At 44.1% G+C, this 22,553-nt stretch overlaps 1 protein-coding gene across 6 annotated transcripts in view; it reads left to right on the top strand.

Annotated features, from left to right (window-relative positions):
- The window catches only part of OPHN1 (oligophrenin 1), a 391,498-nt gene continuing 383,098 nt past the window's right edge, over nt 14,154-22,553 (top strand). For 4 of the 6 annotated variants that reach the window (NM_001437258.1, XM_006724653.3, NM_002547.3 and 1 more), the window contains exons 1-2: nt 14,500-14,827; nt 14,971-15,128. In NM_001437258.1, coding sequence (NP_001424187.1) covers nt 14,975-15,128 — 154 coding nt within the window. In that variant the 5' untranslated portion in view covers nt 14,500-14,827; nt 14,971-14,974. Of the gene's footprint in view, nt 14,365-14,499; nt 14,828-14,970; nt 15,129-22,553 lie in introns of those variants that run through there. The other 2 variants (XM_011530961.2, XM_047442145.1) reach the window with 1 other exon arrangement.

The following is a 22,553-nucleotide window of genomic DNA, read 5'->3' as shown; positions in this document are numbered from 1 at the left end:
AGTGCAATGGCGCAATCTTGGCTCACCGCAACCTCCGCCTCCTGGGTTCAAGCAATTCTCCTGCCTCAGACTCCTGAGTAGCTGGAATTACAGGCATGCACCACCATACCCGGCTAATTTTGTGTTTTTATAGAGATGGAGTTTCTCCATGTTGGTCAGGCAGGTCTCAAACTCCTGACCTCAGGTGATCCACCTGCCTCGGCCTCCCAAAGTGCTGGGATTACAGGAGTGAGCCACTGCGCCTGGCCTACAAATTTTTTTTTTTTTTTAATTAGCCCAGTGTGGTGGTGCATGCCTGTGGTCCCAGGTACTTGGGAGACTGAGGTGGAAGCATCACTTGAGTCCAGGAGGTGAAGGCTGCAGTGAGCCATGATCGAGCCACTGCACACAAGGCTGGGTGACAGAGCGAGACCCCATCTCAAAAAAAAAAAAAAAAAGTTGAACACTGTGGCTTATGCGTATAATCCCAGCACTTTGGGAGGCCAAAGTGAGAGGATCACTTGAGGCTAGGAGTTCCAAGACCAGCCTGGGCAACATAGTGAAACCCTATCTTTACAAAAAATAAAATTAAAACATTAGCCAGGCATAGTGACCTGCATCTGTAACCCCTGTTACTCCGAAGGCTGAGGTGGGAAGATCACTTGAGCCCAGCAGGTCGAGGTTGCAGTGAGCCATGTTCAAGCCATTGCCATCCAGCCTGAGCGACAGAGCAAGACCCTGTCAAAAAGAAAGAAAGAAAAGAAAAGAAAAAGGCCAGGCTCACACTTGTAATCCCAGGACTTTGGGAGGCTAAGGCAGGAGGACTCTCTTAAGCCCAGGAGTTTGAGACCAGACTGGGCAAAACAGTGAAACCTCATCTCTATAAAAAGAACAACAACAACAACAAAAGACTAACGATTGAGTATTAAGTGAAAAAACTTGGCTGGGCACAGTAGCTCACACCTGTAATCCCAGCACTTTGGGAGGCCGAGGCAGGCAGATTGCTTGAGGTCAGGAGTTCAAAAACAGCCTGACCAACATGATGAAAACCTGTCTCTACTAACAATACAAAAATTAGCCTGCTGTGGTGGTGTGCACCTGTAATCCCAGCTTTTTGGGAGGCCGAGGCACGAGAATCACTTGAACCTGAGAAGCAGAGGTTATAGTGAGCCAAGATCGCACCACTGGACTCCAGCCTGCGCAACAGAGTGAGACCCTGTCTCAACAACAACAGCAACAACAACAACAACAAAAAAAACGAAAAAAAAAAAAAACTTTTCTGGCAAGCAGAGAACCCAACACAGTACCAAATCTAGGTAGTTTCTGGAGAATGAGGTTGGGAAAAGGAGTAATGAAGTAGGTCTTTCAGTCAAAAGATCTCAAACTGCCGGGGGTGGTGGCTCACGCCTGTAATCCCAGCATTTTGGGAGGCTGAGGTGGGCAGATCATTTGAGGTCAGGAGTTCAATACCAGCTTGACCAACATAGCGAAACCCCATCTCTACTAAAAATACAAAAAAAATTAGCTGGGCATGGTGGTACACACCTGTAATCTCAGCTACTAGAGAGGCTGGGGCAGGAAAATCGCTTGAACCTGGGAGGCAGAGGTTGCAGGGAGCCAAGGTCATGCCACTGCACTCCAGCCTTCCAGCCTGGGCGACAGAGAAAAAGTCTGTCTCAAAAAAAAAAAAAAAAAGAGAGAGAGAGAGAGAGAGAGAGATCTCGAACTGTGTCAGTCCAATTTCTTTGTTTTTTCTATTTTTCTGGTGTGTTATTTATTTATTTATTTATTTATTTTCTTTTTTTCCTATATTTAAAAAGCAAAATCTGGCCAGGCACAGTGGCTCACATCTGTAATCCCAGCACTTTGGGAGGCCGAGGCAGGCAGATCACTTGAGGTACGGAGTTCGAGATCAGGTGAAACCCTGTCTCTACTAAAAAATATAAAAATTAGCCTGGTGTGGTGGTGGGTGCCTGTAATCCCAGCTGCTTGAGAGGCTGAGGCAGGAGAATTACTTGAACCCAGGAGGTGGAGGTTGCAGTGAGCTGAGATCACACCACTGTTCTCCAGCCTGGGTGACAGAGCAAGACTCTGTCTCTAAAGACAAAAAAATAAAAAACAAAATCTCTGAGTGGTGTTGATTGGCTGAGAATATCTGGATTTGGGGTTAGGTATACACTGGCCTGGCTAGAGATGGTCTGCTGGGTATGTTGGAGTCCTCTCTGGATGTGTCATCTAGTTCAGCCTGCACTGGTGACAGCAGGCCAAGTTGAGGTTTACCTTTGTATATGAAGTCATTTTAGTAGGTAGTGACCAGTGTTTTATAAAATGAAATAGAAGAATAGAATGATAGGATAGATTAGAATAAAAAATATGAGAGCACATTGCATATAGTAAATATTGTTTTGTGAAACCTGTTTTAGTTATATTTATGTATATATGTATGTATGTTCTAGTCTATGGTGTAAAATGTATGTATGTATGTATGTATTTACTTTGTAGAGACAGGGCTTTGCTCTGTCACCCAGGCTGGAGAGCAGTGGTGTGATCACGGCTCACTGGAGCCTCGACTTCCTGGGCTCAAGCGATCCTCCCACCTCCACCTCCCAAGTAGCTGGGACTACAGGACCTTCTCATTTTTAAATGTTTAGTAGTGATGGGGTTTTTGCATGTTGCCCAGGCTGGTCTCAAACTCCTGGGATCAAGCGATCCACCCACCTTGACCTCCTATAGTGCTAGGATTACAGGGGCGAGCCGCTGCGCCCAGCCTAAAAAAGTATTTCTTACTATGTTCATGGTCACAAAAGTTCAAATGTTACAGAATTAGATGATGCTCCTTGAAGTTTTTTTTGGGGGGGGTCCTAATTTCATTCTTAATATGAAAGTCACATGCTCATAGTAAAATTTCAAACTGTTTGGAAGGGAGTAAATTGAAAATCTCCCTCTCTCTATCCCATTTCAACTTCCCCAGATCAGAAAACCATTAAAATCATTTATGAAGAAATACATATACACACATACACATACCACTTTTTCTTTTTTGACACACTGTCTCACTCTGTTGTCCAGGTTGAGTCCAGTGGTGTCATCACACCTCACTGTAACCTTGAACTCCTGGGCTCAAGTGAGCCCACCTACCTCAGCCTCCTGAGTAGTTGGGACTAGGCACGCAACACCACAACCAGTTAATTTTTAAATATTTTGTAGAGACAAGGTCTCGCCATGTTTCCTAGGCTGGTCTCAAACTCCTGAGCTCATGTGGTTCTCCCGCCTGGGCCTCCCAAAGTGCTGGGATTATAGGTGTGAGCTACCGTGCCTGGCCCAGGTATCACATTTTTATTGAATTATTATATATGCGTATATGACTTCTTTAAAAACACACAAAAGATGATTATAATCTAGATACTCCAAATGTTAAATGACGAGTTACTGGGTTCAGCACACCAACATGGCACATGTATACATATGTAACTAACCTGCACGCTGTGCACATGTACCCTAAAACTTAAAGTATAATAAAAAAAATCTAGATACTAATGTGCAGCTATTTTTAACTAATTTTGTTCATTTACATCCTTGGATATATTTTCATAATAAATCATTCTCTTTCATGTGTGCATAATTTCCCATTGCATGGATGTATATCATTTATATAACTATTCCTGTAGTCATGGTCATTTGAAGGGATTCCAGTTTTCAACACTACAAAAAAACGCTTAGCCGATACATTTTTTATCTCTTTGCATGCTTTTGTGGAGAAATCTATAGCACAAATTCTTAATTAGACCTGATGGATCAAAGAGTACACAGATTTAACATTTTGGTAGGTATTGCCAAATTGCCTTCAAAAATGTTCATACCAGTTTACATCCCTGAAGTCTATGAGAACTCCTGTTTCTCCTTGTCAACATCAATTTTTAGCAAAGCTTGTCCAATGTTATGAAAATGGTATCTCAGCACAGAAGCAGGCTAGCACAATACTTGAGTGAGGTTCTCACAGCTGGATGTGATGGCTCATGCTTGTAATTCCAATACTTTGGGAGGCCGAGGCTGGAGGATCACTTGAGGCCAGGAGTTCAAGTCCAGCCTGGGCAATATAGTGAAACCCATCTGTACCAAAAAATAAATTTAAAAAAGTAGCTGAGTGTGGTGGTTTGCGCCTGTAGTCCCAGCTACTTGGAGGCTAAGGCAGAAGGATTGCTTGAGGCTGCGATGTGCCATGATTGCACCGCTGCTCTCCAGCCTGGATGACAGAACAAGACACTGTCTCTAAAAAAAATTTTTTTTAAAGAGTGAGGGTGAGGTTCTAGGGCCTCAGCAGCTTTGGACAAGTTACTTCACTTTTCTAAGCCTCAGTTTTCTCATCTGGAGAATGGGAATGACATAATAGTACCTACTTAAAAGGGTGGTGGTTGTAAAGATTAAGCATGTGCCTTGGACATAGTAAATTTTGACGTTTGTGTTTTGTTTATCATTCAGTATTATTAACTTAATATTCATAACTGTTCTTCTTAAGCTAAACAGGTAGAGTAACTTAGTGGTCTAATCAAGCTTTTTGAAGGCTGAAATGTGAATTCACCCACAATTAATTCTTAGTAAGGTTCTGAAACCAGTTTCCTTCCTGTGGTAATGTCGGTTTAACCATGTGAGAGAGAAAGCATGATTGGCATGTTCTGGGGCCTTGCCAGAGCATTGTCACTGCACTGTTGCATTCTTTTGACAACGATCTCAGCACCCACTGCCTTGTGAGGTGCTTCCATTTATAAAATTACTAGCATGAAAATTTTACTAGCATGAAAATTATTGTAAGTCAGTGGGAAAAATTAATATTGTGGAAAAAATTAATGTTGCCCTTAGAATCCTTTCTTAAAATGCTTTACTTTGTATCTGTTTTGTTCTACTCTAAGTATAGATGCACATCCATTTGCAGTCATGACAAGTTATGACTCTTGTCCATTGCTTGTTTTGTTGCTGAAAGAGGAAGAGAATTAGAAATTGGAAATAATTGCATATTTCAGCTTATGTCATTTTACTTTAAAAGAAACTAAAAGAACTTTGTGGGGCTCAGTTGTCTGAAGGTTTCTTCACGTCTTCCCACCCCCAGGGCCAGAAACTTGTTGAAATACATTTCAGTTGTATACTTTTCTCAAGGTATTCTAGTAATTCTGCTAAAGAGTATGTAATGTGCTATGTGATGCTGGTGAAAATGACCACATATAAAATGTTATGCAGGCTAGGTGCAGTGGCTCATGCCTGTAATCCCAGCACTTTGGGAGGCCGAAGCGGGTGGATCACTTGAGGTCAGGAGTTCAAGACCAGCCTGGCCAACATGGTGAAACCCTATTTCTACTAAAAATACAAAAATTAACCGGGTGTGGTGGCGAGCACCTGTAATCCCAGCTATTTGGGAGACTGAGGCAGGAGAATTGCTTGAACCTGGGAGGTGGAGGTTGCAGTGAGCCGAGATTGTGCCACTGCACTCCAGCCTGGGCGACAGAGCGAATGTCTCCAAAGGAAAAAAAAAAATGTTATGCAAATTCCACAGTTAATCATGTTTATTTAATTATTAGCTTTGAGTCAGATGCAAAATAAACTGAAGTAGTATGGAAGTCAGAAAGCCTAATGCTGCCAATATGAGGAACAGAAGTTTTCACTCATGTTATTAATCAAAACCATTGTTGTATGAGGACTGTCATATCCCGATCAGTTTTTGACCAGTTTTTAGTAGATAAAATCTCATGTCGAGTGGAGTGTGGTTGCATGTGCCTGTAGTCCCAGCCATTTTAGAGGCTGAGGTGGGAGGGAGTGGTTTGAACCCAGGAGTTTGAGGCCAGTCTGGACAAGACAGCAAGATCCTGTCTCAAAAAAATCCCCCCTAAAACCGTATCAGTGCATAAGACTGGATGCCTACATTTTGGACCACCTCCATCAGAATCACCTGTTGTACTTATAAAAAATTTAGATTTCCCAAGGCCTTACCTAAGACCCCACTCCCCCACCCACATTAGTTTCTGATTCTTTGTTATTTTCAAGCCTCAGTTCATATTGTCTGGCCTCAGCCCCTACCTAAATCCACATCATACCATCAGAATCGCTGGGAGAGGGGTCCAAGGAAATCTACATTTTCAATAAGCACCCTAAGTGATTCTCATACAAACCAAAGTTCAAGAATCATTAGTAGAACGTTATAATTTAGTTTCCATGATTCAGCAGGCCCCTCTAGGAACTGCTGGGAAATTTCTGGCCCCTCAGTAGAGCATGGTATCTTCTAAGATGCTATAAAATGGCATAGCCCAGCAGGCTGTGCTGGGATGCTGGGTATTGATATCTTCCTGGGAGTTAAAAAGTAATACAACTGTGCCTTTATTGCCCTTATAAAGCCTTTTAGAACTGACATAAACCTTGTTTGAATTTTTTTTGAAATGTGGCTTATTAGGAATCAAAATGGACACATAAAATGGTCACGAGGAAAAAATTCCCAGGTTATTACCAATAGATAGCTTTGATATGGTGCTGCTGGTGTGAAAATGTGATGAAAATGGTGAATTCTATGGATAAAGAATTTTGGTGGATATTTAATCACATAGACTGAAATAGATTATATTTTTAAAGCTATAAATTGGTGGCTTTTTTTTCCACCAAGCAACTCCATAAAGAGAAACTTGAAGGGAGTGGGTAAATGGAGAGTTGGATGTACAGAGAATTATAAAAGAGGATTTTTCCTTTCTAACCATTTGCCACTTCTAGCTCCTAAAAGTTTTAAAATCTTGGCGTAGGCTGAGGAAAAAAACTAAGCCAAGTTCAGTCAAAGCAGGGAATGGACCAGAGCCAAGACTAGAGCTGGGAATGGTGCCAACAGTAGTAAAGGATTTAGACCAGGCTAGAACTAGGGGCTAGGCTAGCAGTGTTGTTGTGCTGAGGGGCAGTTATCTACTTTGTCTTCTGTCTCATGCAGTGCAAGTCTGGAAATTCTAGACAGCTGAGCATATGTAGCTTGGGAGCCAGTTTTGTCAGCTAGCTCTTCAGAGAAGTTCAACATAAAGCCTCTGTTAATATTCAGCCTGGGATAATTTCAAATCATTTGCTGAAGTTACAGCAAGTGACCCAGAACTATTTTTTCTGTATTACAGTTCCAAGTACGTCCAGTCACATAAGCAGGAGGGAATGGAGATTAGATGTTGATGAGTTAGGCTGGAAGGTACTGTAATGCAATGGCAAAACATGACTTTGAATTCAGAGCTGGATTTGAATCTCTAGGACATCATTTATTCTCTGGGTGACTTTGGCCAAGTAGCTTAACTTCTCTGAGGTTCAGTTGCTTCATCTGTAAAATGCAAGGGACAATAGCACCTTCCTCAATGAGATCATTTATGTAAAGTGCCTGTAAATGAGATCATTTATGTAAAGTGCCTGGCATAGGAGAAATCATCATCAACTTGTGCTGTCCCCTCTCCCTCCACCTGCCACCTCTATTTCACCTCCAGGTTTTCTTCTTGTTATTGGATACAGGCCAGTAACTTCTATATTTTTTCTACCTTTTTGTGAAGGAAGGATTATAACATTTCAGGACAAAGACCTTTAGGATCCTTTATAAGAAGCATAGGGTTTATAAAATATTACTTTATATCTTTAGGTAAACATTTTTTTTTCAGACACAGGTTCTCCCTGTGTTGCCCACATTGGAAAGCGGTGGCTATTCACAAGTGCGATCATAGTTCACTGCAGACCCGAACTCCTGGGCTCAAGGGATCCTCCTGCCTCAAGCTCCTGAGTAGCTAGGACTCCAGGCGAGTGCCACCACATCTACCAGGATAAAACTCTTTTTAAAAACACATTTAATAAATTACTGAAGTCTAAAAATGACATTTGGAAAATTACCTTTTCTTTCCAGCCTCCCAGACCAGTTTTTTTTTTTTTTTTTTAACGGAGTCTCGCTCTGTCGCCCAGGCTGGAGTGCGGTGGTGTGATCTCGGCTCACTGCAACCTCTGCCTCCCGGGTTCAAATGATTCTCATGTCTCAGCCTTATGAGAAGCTGGGATTACGGGCTCACACCTCCACGAACAACTAGTTTTTTGTATTTTTAGCAGAGACAGGGTTTCTTCATGTTGGCCAGGCTGGTCTCGAACTCCTGGCCTCGAACTCCTGCCCTCAAGTGATCTGCCTGCCTTGGCCTCCCAAAGTGCTGGGATATCAGATGTGAGCCACTGGGCCCCTCCTAAAATGGGATTTCTTTCGCTTCCTTGTAAAATGGTGGCAAACCCTGCTTATAAGTGCATGTGCATGTGTATTCTTTTTACTGTCACAGACTCAAATTGCATCGAACTAGTGGAGCTTGTTAAACCCTTACTAGTTACACGAGACTAGGCAATTACTGAAATTCTCTGAGCCTACCATCCCTCACATATAAAGTGAGGATGATAATACCGTAGCAGCTGTCTTTACACTGGGGTATGCCTAGCCCTGAAGGTATGTCTTAGTCCATTTGGGCTGCTATAACAAAAGTATCATAGACTGGGAGACTTATAAACAACAGAAGTTTGTTTCTTACAGTTTTGTAGGCTAAGAAGTCCTGTTACAGGTAGAAGGTTTTCACTTTAAGTTGCCCAGGTTCTTGGCATTTTGAGCAAAGAATTGGACAAAACGCACAGCAAAGCAAGGAAAAAATGAGGCAACAAAAGCAGAGATTTATTGAAAATGAAAGCACGCTCCACAGTGTGGAAGTGGGCCGAGCAAGCTTTTCAAGCGCCCCCATACAGAATCTTCTGGGGTCCAAATACCCCCTAGACGTTTCCCATTAGCTATTTGGTGTTCACCCCATGTAAATAAAGTGGTGGCCCCCAATCAGTCTGATTAGTTGTAGAAAGCAACCAATCAGAGGCTGAAGTGATGTTACAAAGTTACACTCCTATGCTTTCGGCAGTCAATCAGAGGTACTTTCAATTTTCCATCTGCCCCTCAGAAAAGGTGGGAGTTTGCAAAGGGAGTAGCTTCTGGTCCTTTTGTTACTTAGGCGTGGAAAGTTGGGATTTTCCTTTCAATTTAGTTATAGGAAGTCAGTGTGAAACGGCCTTAGGTTCCCTGCCTCCAGACCCTATTCCCCTGCCTCAGTGCCACATCAAGGCATTTGCAGATTCAGTGCCTGCTGAAGGCCTGCTTCCTGCTTTGTATACTGCTGTCTTATCTCTGTCCTCACATGGTGGAAGGGATAAGGGAGCTCTCTCAGGCCTCTTTTACAAGTGCACTCATCCAGCTCATGAAGGCTCCACCCTCATGACCTAACCAAGTCTTAATGCCCCACCTCCTAATACCATTACCTTGAGGGTTAGGATTTCAACATATAAACTGGGTGAATACAAATACTCAGTCCAGAGCAAGGCACATGGAAACTGTCCAACGGCTTTGAGGTCACCAGGTAGCCGAAAGTGAACCAATTTCCGGATACGCAATTTTCTTTAGCACTTTTTCTAAAAATCATTTGTCTGAGAACTCACCTCCAGTTTTCCTTTCCTACCTCCCTTGCTCAATATCTCAAAGGGAAAGCATACCTTTTAAACATCAAGAATCTTACTATGGTGCTTTGGCCCAAGGTATAAAAACCCTTGGGGCTAAACATAGAAATAATTTAAAATATTGGTGTTCAGGAATCTTCTTTAACTCAATGCCCTGAAACCTACCTCTTTCTTAACCATCTTACTAAGAGATGCAGTTCCAATAAACTTTTTTTTTTTTTTTTTTGAGAGAGAGTCTCACTCTGTTGGCTGGAGTGCAATGGTGTGATCTCGGCTCACTGCAACTTCCGCCTCCGGGGTTCAAGTGATTCTCCTGCCTCAGCCTCCTCAGTAGCTAGCATTACAGGTTCACTCCACCATGCCTGGCTATTTTTTTTTTTTTGTATTTTCGTAGAGATAGGGTTTCGCCATGTTGGCCAGGCTCATCTCGAACTCCTGGCCTCAAGTGATCTGCCGGCATTGGCCTTCCAAAGTGCTGGGATTATAGAAGTGAGCCACTATGCCCAGCCCCAATAAAATTTTATATTTAATAATAATTACAATGTGTTCGCATTATTTTACTCTATTATGTATGCTTAATAATCACAGAAGCTTTTTAATCCATGAAGCCTTATGGTCACAAGGAAATAAAAAGAATTAACTTTCTATTTATGAGCTGTGCATGGTGGCTCATGCCTGTAATTCCAGCACCTTGGGAAGCCAAGGCAGGAGAATTGCCTTGGCTTCCTGGGCTCGGGAGTTAGAGACCAGCCTGGGCAACATAGGGAGGCCCTGTCTCTATTAAAAATTAAAAAATTAGTAGGGTGTGGTGACGTGCGCCTGTAGTCCCAGCTACTTGGGACTGAAGTGGGAGGATTGTGTGAGCCTGGGAATTTGAGGCTGCAGTGAACTGTGATTGCACCATTGTACTCCAGCTTGTGTGACAGAGTGAGACCCGGTTTAAAAAAAAATTATGTTTGTGAGCATATTTTTGTTGCAGAGAAATTCAATATGGTGATCAATAGACTTTAAGTATGGAAGTATGATGGTTGGCCAGGTACGGTGGCTCATGTCTATAATCCCAGGGCTTGGGGTCGAGGCAGGAGGATTGCTTGAAGCCAGGAATTTGAGACCAGCCTGGACAACATGGTGAGACCCTGTCCCTACAAAACAACACAACAACAACAAAAAACATTAGCCAGACATGGTGGCTCAGGCATATACTCTTAACTACTTGGGAGTCTGAGATGCGAGAATCGTTTGAGTTCAGGAGTTCGAGGCTGCAGTGCACTTAAGATTGTGCCACTGCACTCCAGCCTGGGTGACAGAGTAAGACTGTTTAAAAAAAAAAAAGGATAAAATTTCTGTGGGGAAAACGTATAGATAATTGATTTGAAGAAGAAAAAATGAACAATAGAATAAATTTTTTGAAGATTCAAGATGTGTTTACACTTTGTTTTGCTTTGTGCGTTTGATGATGGATGTCAGATTGAATACTTTTAAAAGAGTGATGTAACAGTTTTATTTTAAAACGTCAATATTCCTAGTATGTTAGAAATTAAACTTTTTGCAACTATTTAAGCATAATGAAAAAATTTAGATGTTAGGCCAGGGGTGGTGGCTCATGCTTGTAATTCCAGCACTTTGGGAGGTTGAGGTGGGTGGCTCGCTCGAGGTCAGGAGTTCAAGGCCAGCCTGACCAACATGATGAAACCCAATCTCTACTAAAAATAAATAAATAAATAAAGCGGGCATGGTGACATGTGCCTGGAATCCCAGCTACTCGGGAGGCTGAGGCAGGAGAATTGCTTGAACCTGGGAGGTGGAGGTTGCAGTGAGTGGAGATCGTGCCACCACACTCTAGCCTGGGTGACAGAGTGAGACTCTGTCTCAAAAAAATAAAATAAAAAAAAGATACCACTTAAAAACGAAGGAGTACATAGCTCCCAAAATTCTTTTAGGGGTTATGTGAACAAAATTTTAAAGACTCTCAGTGACATAGGGTTAGCTGTGAGGGTCAGGGAGAAATTGTGCAAAGCAATTAAGATAGTGCTTGATGAATGCAAGTATTATCTGAAGAACTGAGTTTTTTTTTTTTTTTTTTTTTTTTTTTTTTTTTTTTTGAGATGGAGTCTTGCTCTGTCATCCAGGCTGCAGTGCAGTGGCCCAATCTTGGCTCACTGCAACCTCTGCATTCTGGGTTCAAGCGATTCTCCTGCCTCAGACTCCTGAGTAGCTGAGATTACAGGCACACACCACTACACCTGGCTAATTTTTTATTTTTAATAGAGATGGGGTTTCCCCATGTTGGCCAGGCTGGTCTTGAACTCCTGACCTCAGGTGATCTGCCCGCCTTGACCTCCCAAAGTGCTGGGTTTACAAGCGTGAGCCACCACGCCGTGTGAGTTCTAATTTTAGCCCTGTTTCTTCTTCGGTATTTGGTCTAGGGAATTTGTTATTTCTGTGCTTTAGTTTCATTGTCTAGATAAAGGATAACACAGATGACTGTAAAACACTTTGAGTATAGGAACTCAGATGAGTATGATTGAATCTAACATCAATAATGTCAACAGCAGCTGGGCATGGTGGCTCACACCTGTAATCCCAGCACTTTGGTGGGGGCTGCAGTGGGTGGATCCCTCTAGCCCAGGAGTTTGAGACTAGCCTAGCCAACATGGTGAAACCCCGTCTCTACAAAAAAATACAAAAATTGGCCAGGTGTGGTGGCATGTGCCTGTAGTCCTAGCTACTCAGGAGGAGGCTGAGGTGGGAGGATCACCTGAGCCCAGGGAGGTCGAGGCTGCAGGGAGCCGTGATTGAGCTATTGATTGCACTTTAGCCTGGGCAACAGGGTGAGACCCTTTCTCAAACAAAAAAATACATAAATAAATAAAATTTTAAAAAATGTCAATGGCAATTTTTATAGTGATGAAAATATATGTATAGGCTTTATAAATAAAAGTATATAGCAGGTGTTCAAAAAATGCTTGTTAAACGAGTGAATGAATGCTAAAAGGAAACTTACTAGTGTGAAAGACCATATACCCATTGAATGGGTACCTTCCCTTAGTACCTGCATTTTTCAACCCATGGTGCATTTAAAGCTCATTTTGGACATTTTCCCATAAATTAACCTTAAAGATAAAAAGAGTAAGAAACAAAACTTTCCCCTGAGATGTGGCTACTTATTTATTTTCAGAGGGCGTTTTCTCATTGCCATTCTGCTATATAGTGTAGTGGTCAAGAGCACTACCTCTAGAGCCAGCCAGGCTGGGCTCAAGTTCAAGTGCTGCCATTTAACTAGCTGTTTGTCCTTCGGCAAGTCACTTAAACTCTCTTTGACCCAGCTTCTCCATCTTTAAATGGGTATAATAATAAAACCATCCTCATAGGGTTGTTTTGAAGATTAGTGAGATGGGCGATAGGTTGTGTGGTGGGTAGAATAATGTTTCCTCCTTCACAGATGTCCATGTCCTGAAACCTGTGGCTACGTTATCTTATGTGGCAAAATGAAATTTGCAGATGTGATTAAGGATGATGTGATGGGGGAGATTATCCTGTGGACCCAGTGTAATCATAAGGGTCCTTAAGGGGAGGCATGAGAATCACAGTGATGTAGCATGAGAAAGACTTGACTGGCCAGTGCTAGCTTTAAAGACGGAGGAAGGGAGCTATGAGCCAAAGGATGTGAGCAGCTTGAGCCGGAAAAGGTAAGGAACCAGATTCTACCCCTAGACTATCTGAAAATGAACACAACCCTTCTAACATCTTGATTTGATCCCAGTGAGGCCCATTTCTGATTTCTGCCTTCTGGAACTGTAGATTATAACTTTATGCTGATTTAGGACATCAAGTTTGTGGTAATTTGTCACAGCAGCAACAGGACCCTAATTCAGGTGGGTCAGCCACTATTATTCTATTTACAACCCCCTTCCGTTCTGGCTTTCTTCACAGGGCAATCTAATGTAAACACTTCTGCAGAATTAAAGGGATCTCTTTGCCCACGCACAAACTATTTTTTAGTTTTTCGAGCCTCTACCTACCCTTAGTCTCAAGACAGCTGCCTTTAAGGTAAGCTGCAAGACAATTTATAACATCCTATTCTTAGACTTTCCACTTACACATGGAAAATCATATGCATTATCGGCGTCTGCCACAAAAGCCATGCTCTGAGGTCCTATTCAGGAAAATATTAACTCTGAATTATGGCCTCCCTTTCTTTGGCAGGGGGCACTGAGCTTCACGGAGACCCTAGAGTAGGAATCAACCCTTCAGGTCGAAGGCCCAAGGGAATTAGAGCACTTAGAGCAGGAGACATGGGAAAAGAAAGAGGAAAAGAAGTTGGTAGGTCCGAAGGAGGCTGGAAAGAGGGGAAGGCAAAAGAATACACAACCCAGCCGAATCATGGGAATTGAGAGATGGCTTCCTGCAATCTAGTCTTGCGGGTTCTTGCTCTAGTTTCGGAAACTTCCCCCGCAGAGTCCAGCGCCGCGCACCTGCCCCTTGGGGCCGGTCCCTGCGCAGGAGCCTGCGGCAGGCTGGGAATGCCGTTCTGGGAGAGCAGCCTCCCAGGCGGGGTGGTGGGGAGACTGCAGGGAGGAGTCTTGGGGAGTGCAAACGGAAAGACTACATCTCCCAGGCCGCCACGCTTTCCAGCTGGAGTCCTAGGGCGCTGACTGCTCCCCAGTTTCCGTAGGGAAGCGCTGGGCTACCGCGGCTATTGTGCGTCGCGCTCTCGCCCTCCTCTTCCCGCTGCAGTGTCTATGGAGCGAGGCTACGTTTCATTGCCGCCCTGGCTTAACCCTTCCGGCGCCTAAAAGGACGGCCGGCCGGCCGGCTCCCTTGCACCAGGAAGAAGTCTTAGCAGCCAGCGGGCCCTGGTCAGGAAACTCTAAGGTACAAGGAAAACAGTTGAGGAAGGAGCCAGAGCGCTCCGGTTTGGTCCTCGGGCTTCGCTGGGGCGGGGCGCAGGCGTTGGCTTTAAGAAAGGGGAGGGGACAGTGCAATCCGGGTTGCCCGCGGAGTTCGGCCAAGGAAGTCTTCCGCTCGCTCCGGAGCGAGGAGCCTGTAGAGAGGCTGTTCCCAGCTCCAGCTCTAACCTCGCCTACACCTTGGGCGGGCCCAAGTGTCACGTTTGCAATTGCTCAGGAAGGATCCGGCCCGTCTCCGGAGGCAAGTCGGGCTGCGGTTTTTGCTGCTTATCTGGGAAGGCGATGCCTAAGGGACATGCTGCTTGCTAGGCAGCACCCTGCCGGGATCCGACTGCGATAGTTAGCTCTCCCTGGCCCTGAAGCCATCGCCGGGGCGCCTGTTCTCTGTCCGGACCAGCCAGCGCTCCTCAGGAGTCTCACTGAAACAGGTACCTGTCCTCCAAAGGGACGGAGGCTATGAGCTTCCTTAAGCGGGTCGCGCGCTCAGTCCGTCCCCTCTACTTCCTCTACTGTGCCATTGATGCTCTCGGTCTTTGTGTCTTTCCCCTTTCCCCCTACTCCCGGCCATCAGAACCATGGGTCATCCCCCGCTGGAGTTCAGCGACTGCTACCTGGACAGCCCCGATTTCCGCGAGAGGCTCAAGTGTTATGAGCAGGAACTGGAGAGGACCAACAAATTCATCAAAGACGTAATCAAAGACGGCAACGCGCTTATCAGCGCTATGAGAAGTAAGTGCAAGGCTTCGATGAGCTGTTTCTCTGAGCTGGTGTGTCTGGCCTTTAAGCCTTTCCACACCACCAGGGGAAGGGAGATTGCAGGGTGACTCCCAGCCCAGATCTCTGAGGCAAATGGGTTTCCCACACTTGGGGAGTGGAGATAGTAGAAGTGGAAAGTGGTGGATACAACCAGAACTTTGGGCCTTTTCCTTTAGTGGTTTTGACCTTATAAGACGTGATCCGTAGCTGTGCCAGGGACCCTCTTGCTCAGCAATTACCCTTACTTGGCAGATGATTGTTCTTAAGGGACAATCTGCTGTACTGTTAGACATATTCAGCACCCCTGTCTGGGGCAAAGTGACATCCAAGCTGACCAAGGAACTGCCCCAGCACCTCCTAAACAATTGGGGATTAAGGTCAGCAGCTTGAATAATAATTTTGTCCTGGTCTCTGGTTGCTACAGATAAGTGTGGGGGGCAGTAAAAAATTCGCCATGGCAAGTTATTTTTTAAGGAAAGCACCTTTGCCCCAGTGAATTATTTTCTTTATCACACTGAGCTATGGTTTAGGTCAAGGTCAGTCTAAGTTCAGGATTATTGGATGGCTTCACCTGCCACTGAATTCTGCTTGAGTGTGGAACAAAGAGCTGACTACTTAGTCCCTGCCACAAGGGGCCCAGCCCCCAGGGAGTAAAATAGGGATAGGGTTGGGGGCTGCTGGGCTGAAGGAACTTCACCTAGCTTCGCTTTTCCAGTGCTCACAGCTGACTCAGCTGTGGGAAGCTCTCTCCTTCCCCCATTGTGTGTGGAGGTTTTTTTTCTGCTTGTTGGTAGGAGGCTTGGAGTAAAAGAAAGAATAATAAACATCCCCAACGAGAGTGCAGGCAAGCCAACCCTTTATGCCAAAGCATATACACAGAAGAATGGAGGGTAATGATTGGGTGGAGTGATAATTAATTTTTTCTCTTGGCTGAAAGATGATTGTGAAAAATAAACTCAGAGTCATTGGCAAGTATGTCCTATATGGTTATAACTTTGTTTTGAGTGAATTTATCACCAAATACAGGGTCTAGGACCAGTGTGGCAACCTTCTTAGGCGGATGCAGTCAACCAAGAGCAGGGAGAAAGAAAGATTTGAAAGTGGTAGTGCGAGGCTGGGCGAGGTGGCTCACGCCTGTAATCCCAGCACTTTGGGAGGCCAAGGCGGGTGAATCACCTGAGATCAGGAGTTCGAGACCAGCCTGGCTAACATGGTGAAACCCTGTCTCTACTAAAAATACAAAAAAAAAAAAAAAATTAGCTGGGCATGGTGGCAGGCACCTGTAATTCCAGCTACTCAGGAGGCTGAGGCAGGAGAATCACTTGAACCCAGGAGATGTTGGTTGCAGTGAGCCGAGACCGTGCCATTGCACTACAGCCTGGGCAACAAGAGTGAAACTCCATCTCAAAAAAAGAAAAGAAAGTGGTAGTGTGTTGGTAACTGCTGCCAGCTGGTATTTCTTGTGCAGCCCTTCTGATTTGCCCTGTGGAGTCGGTGCTTTTCCTTCACATGCTCTCTGCCCACTTTTGGTCAGAATATGTACACTGTCGAAGTTCCTGCAGGTCATTTGATTGTGTTTGATCTTTTAATGATTTGTCTTATTGTGGCCTGACCAAGAGTAAACTCCTAGTAGTATCTGAAATGCTGATCCTTAAGAGGTTAAGGATATGCAGGTTGTGCTACATAAGTAGAAAGGTGAGAGTTCACGGAAAGGAAAAGGAGGAATGTTTCAGCTTTGTTTTGTTTTGTTTATATATTACAGTAAACTGCTTGGTGCTGTGTCCCCAGTAAAACGAATCTCATCATAAGCCCTAGGAACAGAATGGCTTTGTGAAGTGGATGGTAACTAAAAGCATGCTAAAAATCACCAGCTAAGGCATATCAGAGAGATTAAGATTTATAAGAAAAAAAGTAGTTCAATAAAACATGGTGGAAGAGCAAAAGTTTCATAAGCTAGGGGCAAGTAAAGGTTTTTATTCTTTCCTTTTCTTTCTTTTTTTTTCAATTTTTGTTTTTGAGATGAAGTCTTGCTTTGTCGCCCAGGCTGGAGTGCAGTGGCATGATCTCAGCTCACTGCAGCCTGGATCTCCTGGTTTCAAGCGATCCTCCTGCCTCATCCTCCCCAGTACCTAGGACTATAGGCATGTGCCACTGCGCCTGGCTAATTTTTGTATTTTTTGGTAGAGATGGGGTTTCACCACGTTAGCCAGGCTGGTCTTGAACTCCTGACCTCAGGTAATCCACCCACCTTGGCCTCTCAAAGTGCTGGGATTGCAGGGATGAGCCACCACGCCTGGCCTCTTTCCTTCTTTTCTAAGACTCAAAGTGATAAGAGTCAACAGTTAAGCAGATCTAAAATTTTGCATATGAGCAGAAGATCCAAGAGATATTCTAGATTAGGGGCTCCTTGAAATTTGTGGTAGTTTTCTGTTTCTGAGTATACACAGAAAGCCAAAAATAGGACAGGTAGAAAATAAAACCCAGCAGCTAACCCATTCTCCATTTCTTTCCATTCAATTGCATGGATTCTAAAAGTCTGATTAGCTAGAGGCAAAGGTAGGATGTTTCCTACTGTCTTGACCACAGTGATGTTTATACTCCCACTCTCCTTCCTCACACTGTGCCAGCGGAGCGACTTTCTGAAAGTAGGTAGGGTGGAAGCAAAACAAAGTTATGTTCTTGCTCTGTGTTGAGGAAAAAGGAAAAAGGAACACTGGAATCGGAGTTAGAAGATCAGGATTATGTTCTTGGCTTCTCCATCTTGGGATCTAACACAAATCACTTTTTTTTTTTTTGTTTTTTTCTGAGACAGAGTCTTGCTTTGTCACCCAGGCTAGAGTGCAGTGGCATGATCGCAGTTCACTGCAGCCATCGCCCCTTGGGTTCAAGTGATCCTCGTGTCTTAGCCTCCCGAGTAGCTGGGACTACAGGCACACACCACCAGATCTGGCTAGTTTTTGTGTTTTTAGTAGAGATGGGTTTCACCATATTGGCCAGGCTGGTATCGAACTCATGGCCTCAGGTGATCCATCCACTTTGGCCTCCCAAAGTGCTGGGATTACAGGCATGAGCCACTGCACTTGGTCCCACAAATCACTTTTCATTTTTCTTGTTTTAGAGACAGGGTCTTGCTTTGTTGCCCAGGCTGGAGTACAGTGGCACAATCATAGCTCACTGTCACCTCTAATTCCTGGGCTCAAGTGATCCTCCCACCTCAGTCTCCCCAGTAGCTGGACTCCAAGTACACGCCACTATGCCTGGCTAATTTTTAATTTTTTTTAGAAACTGGGTCTCACTGATCTCGCCCAGGCTGATCTGGAATTCCTGGGCTCAAGCAAGCCTCCCACCACGGCCTCTCAAAGTGTTGGGATTATAGGCGTGAGTCACCACACCCAGCCAAATCACTTTTTTTTGGAGACAGAGTCATGCTCTGTTGCCCGAGCTGGAGTGGAGTGGCATGATCTCAGCTCACTGCAACCTCCGCCTCCCGGGTTTAAGCAATTCTCGTGCCTCAGCCTCCTGAGTAGCTGGGATTACAGGCACCTACCACCACGCCCAGTTAAATTTTGTATTTTTTTTAGTAGAGACGGGGTTTTGTCTTGTTGCCCAGGCTGGTCTTGAACTCCTGAGCTCAGGCAGTCCGCCCCCCCTTGGCCTCCCAAAGTGCAAGAATTACAGGCATGAGCCACCGTGCCTGGCCCCAAATCACTTTTACTTCGTCTGTAAAATCGGGGTAATTATACCCACCTCCCAAGATTGTTGTGAGGCTCAAAGAAATTAATGGATTATGAAAATGATCTGTAAATGGAAATGGCTAAACAAAGTTGTTGATAATACATCTTCGGATTCTTAATATATCTGTTGGTGAATGTGTCATTTTCTGTAGGTTTCTGAAGGGAAATGCATAAGCAGAAGTAGTTGGAACTCCTCTTGCTTAAATGTGATCTCTTCATAATTGTTGAAGTGCAAGGTGATTATAACTTAAACTAATGGAAAATAAAAATACCATCCCTCTGAAAGGTGACTATATTGCCAACTTTTCTGTTTGTCCTTTATTTTTATATTGGTAGCTTCAGTCCCCAATGTTGTTTGAATATTTGCTAAGCCCTGAGGCTAGGCATTATTCAGAACAAGTGATGTGGCCCCTGCTCATATCACAAAGCAGCATGACACATCTAATAAGTGTTATATATAGTTAGCGAATGCATACTATTCATTCAATACATACTTGGACACATACCGTGTTCAAGTCATTGTTCTTGGAGCTGTCAGGCATACAGAATGAGTCACAGATGGATACTGCTTTCAAGAGGTTCTTAGGCTGGTGGGAGAGACAAGACGTGGATAGAAATGATTGTCATATAAGGTAGTAGATACAGATGAGAGCCATAAAAGTGGGAACAGGTGGACCTGATGATATATGACATGAGAGGGAAAGCTGATTTCCCAGTGGGAGCACAAGGGAGAAGCCAAGGAAGAAGCACCATCAGAGTTGGGTAGAATTAATAACACTATCACTTGTTTAGCTGTTCCCATGTGTCAGGCATTACATCTTGTAACAGATTTTTGAGATAAGGATTATTATTCCCATTTTTTAGATGAGGAAACTGAAGTTCAGATGAGTTAAGTAACTTTCTCAACTAGTAAGGGCAAGTGTCTGAATTAGAACCTAGACCTGACTCTAAAGGCCCTGCTTATCCTACTGCATGACACTATTCAGGACAGGGCATTTCATGTAGCGGGAGTGACACAGAATATAAAGGGGACAGCAAATAATTTGAGTCATCTGGGGTATAGGCAACAGAAAGGGAGGTTTGGGCTCCTGAGGAGCTGGATTACAGCCACCATGCCCAGCTAATTTTTGTATTTTTAGTAGAGACAGGATTTCACCATGTTGGCCAGGCTGGTCTCGAACTCCTGGCCTCAAGTGATCCACCAGCCTCAGCCTCCCAAAGTGCTGGGATTACAGGCGTGAGCCACCACGCCCAGCCTACATTCTTTTTTTTTTTTTTAATTGTGCTAGCTAAATAAAACATTTTCATAGGCCAGATTCAATCAGGTTGCAACCCCTGAGCTAAATGATACAGCTCTACAAGTCTGGCTCTTGGACTCTAATGGGCTAGGAAAATAGAGGATGACAGTCTTCAGATAGGGGCTTTCCTGGGGAAGCAACAATGGATACTCTTTGCAAATGAGCAGAGGCGAAATGATGGTATAATGGGACAAAACCCTGGACATGGCATCTAGATACCTGAGTAAGGTGCTGGTTCTGTTATGGGATCTGTGACCTTGATAAGCGATTTCACTGGGACCCCAGGGTCTGTGGCTTTACAAAGATGGGGCTGGGGTGGGAGGTTTATAAACCCACTTTGAGCTCTAACATTCTATGACTTACTATGTTTTGCATGGCATATTATAGTTTCATGATTTGAGAAAGGAATGACTAACCCAATTACAGGACCTTATTTTACGCTTACATAAAATTTCACATTATTTTAGTGTAAATGACAGTATTTAATTTAACAAAAAATTAAAACAGAATTTTTTGTTGTTGTTGTTGTTTTTTTTTTTTGAGACAGAGTTCACTGTGTTGCCCAGGCTGGAGTGCAGTGGCGCAATCTCGGCTCACTGCAACCTCCGCCTCCGGGGTTCAAGTGATTCTCATGCCTCAACCTCTCAAGTAGCTGGGACTACAGGCGCATGCCACCATGCCCATGCTAAGTTTTGTAATTTTTTTTTTTTTTTTTTTTAGTAGAGATGGGGTTTCACCATGCTGTCCAGGCTGGTCTCGAACTCTCGACCTCAAGTGATCTGCCTGCCTCAGCCTCCCAAAGTGCTGTGATTACAGGTGTGAGCCGCTGTGCCTGGCCTAAAAGAGAATTTCTAAATACCCTTTTCCAAACCAAGGATAATGTGCTTTATAAGTATGTTTTTGTTTTTTTTTTTTTGTTTGTTTTAAGAGACAGAGTCTCACTCTGTCACCCAGAGTGGCATACTTTTAAGTACAGTGGCACCATCATAGCTCACTGCAACTTCGAACTCCTGGGCTCAAAGGATCTTCCGGACTCAGCCTCCTGAGTAGTTGGGACTACAAGCACACACTACCAATCTTAGCTAACTAATTTTTTTTTTTTTTTTTTGGAGAGATGCGGTCCTGCCATGTTGCTCAGGTTGGTCTTGAACTCCTGGGCTCAAATGTTTTTTCCACCTCAGTCTCCCAAAGTGTTGGCATTATAGGTGTGAGCCATCACGCCCAGCCTCTGTGTATGTATATATATATATATATAAAACAGATGTCAGAAAAAAAATATATCACTAAACCCACATATATACGTGCACAACCACACATACATAGGCTCTCTTGGACTAATGAAAACTCATGTTTTTTTTGTTGTTGTTGAGACAGAGTCTTACTCAGTCACCCAGGCTGGAGTACAGTGGTGCCATCTCGGCTCACCGCAACCTCCACCTCCTGGGTTCAAGCGATTCTGGTGCCTCAGCCTCCCAAGTAGCTGGAATTACAGGCGTGCGCTACCACGCCCAGCTAATATTTGTATTTTTAGTAGAGACGGGGTTTCACCATGCTGACCAGGCTGGTCTCGAACTCCTGACCTCAAGTGATCCACCCATCTCGGCCTCCCAAAGTGCTGGGATTACAGGCGTGAGACACTGTGCCCAGCTGAAAACTTATGTTTTAAAAGAATCCAGGGTCGGGCTTGGTGACTCACGCCTGTAATCCCAGCACTTTTGGAAGCCAAGGCGGGTGGGTCGTTTCAGTCTAGGAGTTTGAGACCAGCTTGTGTAACATGGCGAAACCTTGTCTCTACAAAAAATATGAAAAGTTAGCTGGGCATGGTGGTGCGTGCCTGTAGTCCCAGTTACTCAGGGGGCTGAGGTGGGAGGATTGCTTGAGCCCTGGAGGCAGAGAGGTTACAGTGAGCAGAGATCACTCCACTGCACTCCAGCCTGGGCTACAGAGTGAGACCCTGTCTCCCTCTCTAAAAAAAAAAAAAAAAAAAAAAAAAAAGAATCCAGTCCAGGTGCATTGGCTCAAGCCTGTCTCAAAAAAAAAAAATCCAAAAGATGCATTCAGTACTCTAAATGTACATAAAATTGATAAAGTAGAAATAATTCTATAGTTTTAATAACTCAATCTTAATTTTTTAAAAAAAGGTCACTGTCTTACATTCTTTGCTTTTAAAGTTAGAGTTTTAGATGTTTACATTAAGGTCACCTTTTGGGGTACCTTTGCAGCTTTCACTTTGGCAACCGGAGCACCTATCTGGTGAGTGGTTGCTTTCCTGGAAGGATGGGTTGATTCCAATTCTGCCACTAGCTAGCTATATGACTTTAAACATGTCTTTAGTTTTGTCGGTCTCAGTTTTCCCATTTTATAAA

Source organism: Homo sapiens, chromosome X, assembly GCF_000001405.40.
Source record: "Homo sapiens chromosome X, GRCh38.p14 Primary Assembly".
NCBI lineage: Eukaryota > Metazoa > Chordata > Mammalia > Primates > Hominidae > Homo > Homo sapiens.
The sequence above is the reverse complement of the archived record's forward strand: the minus strand, read 5'-3'. Positions and strand labels throughout refer to the sequence as shown.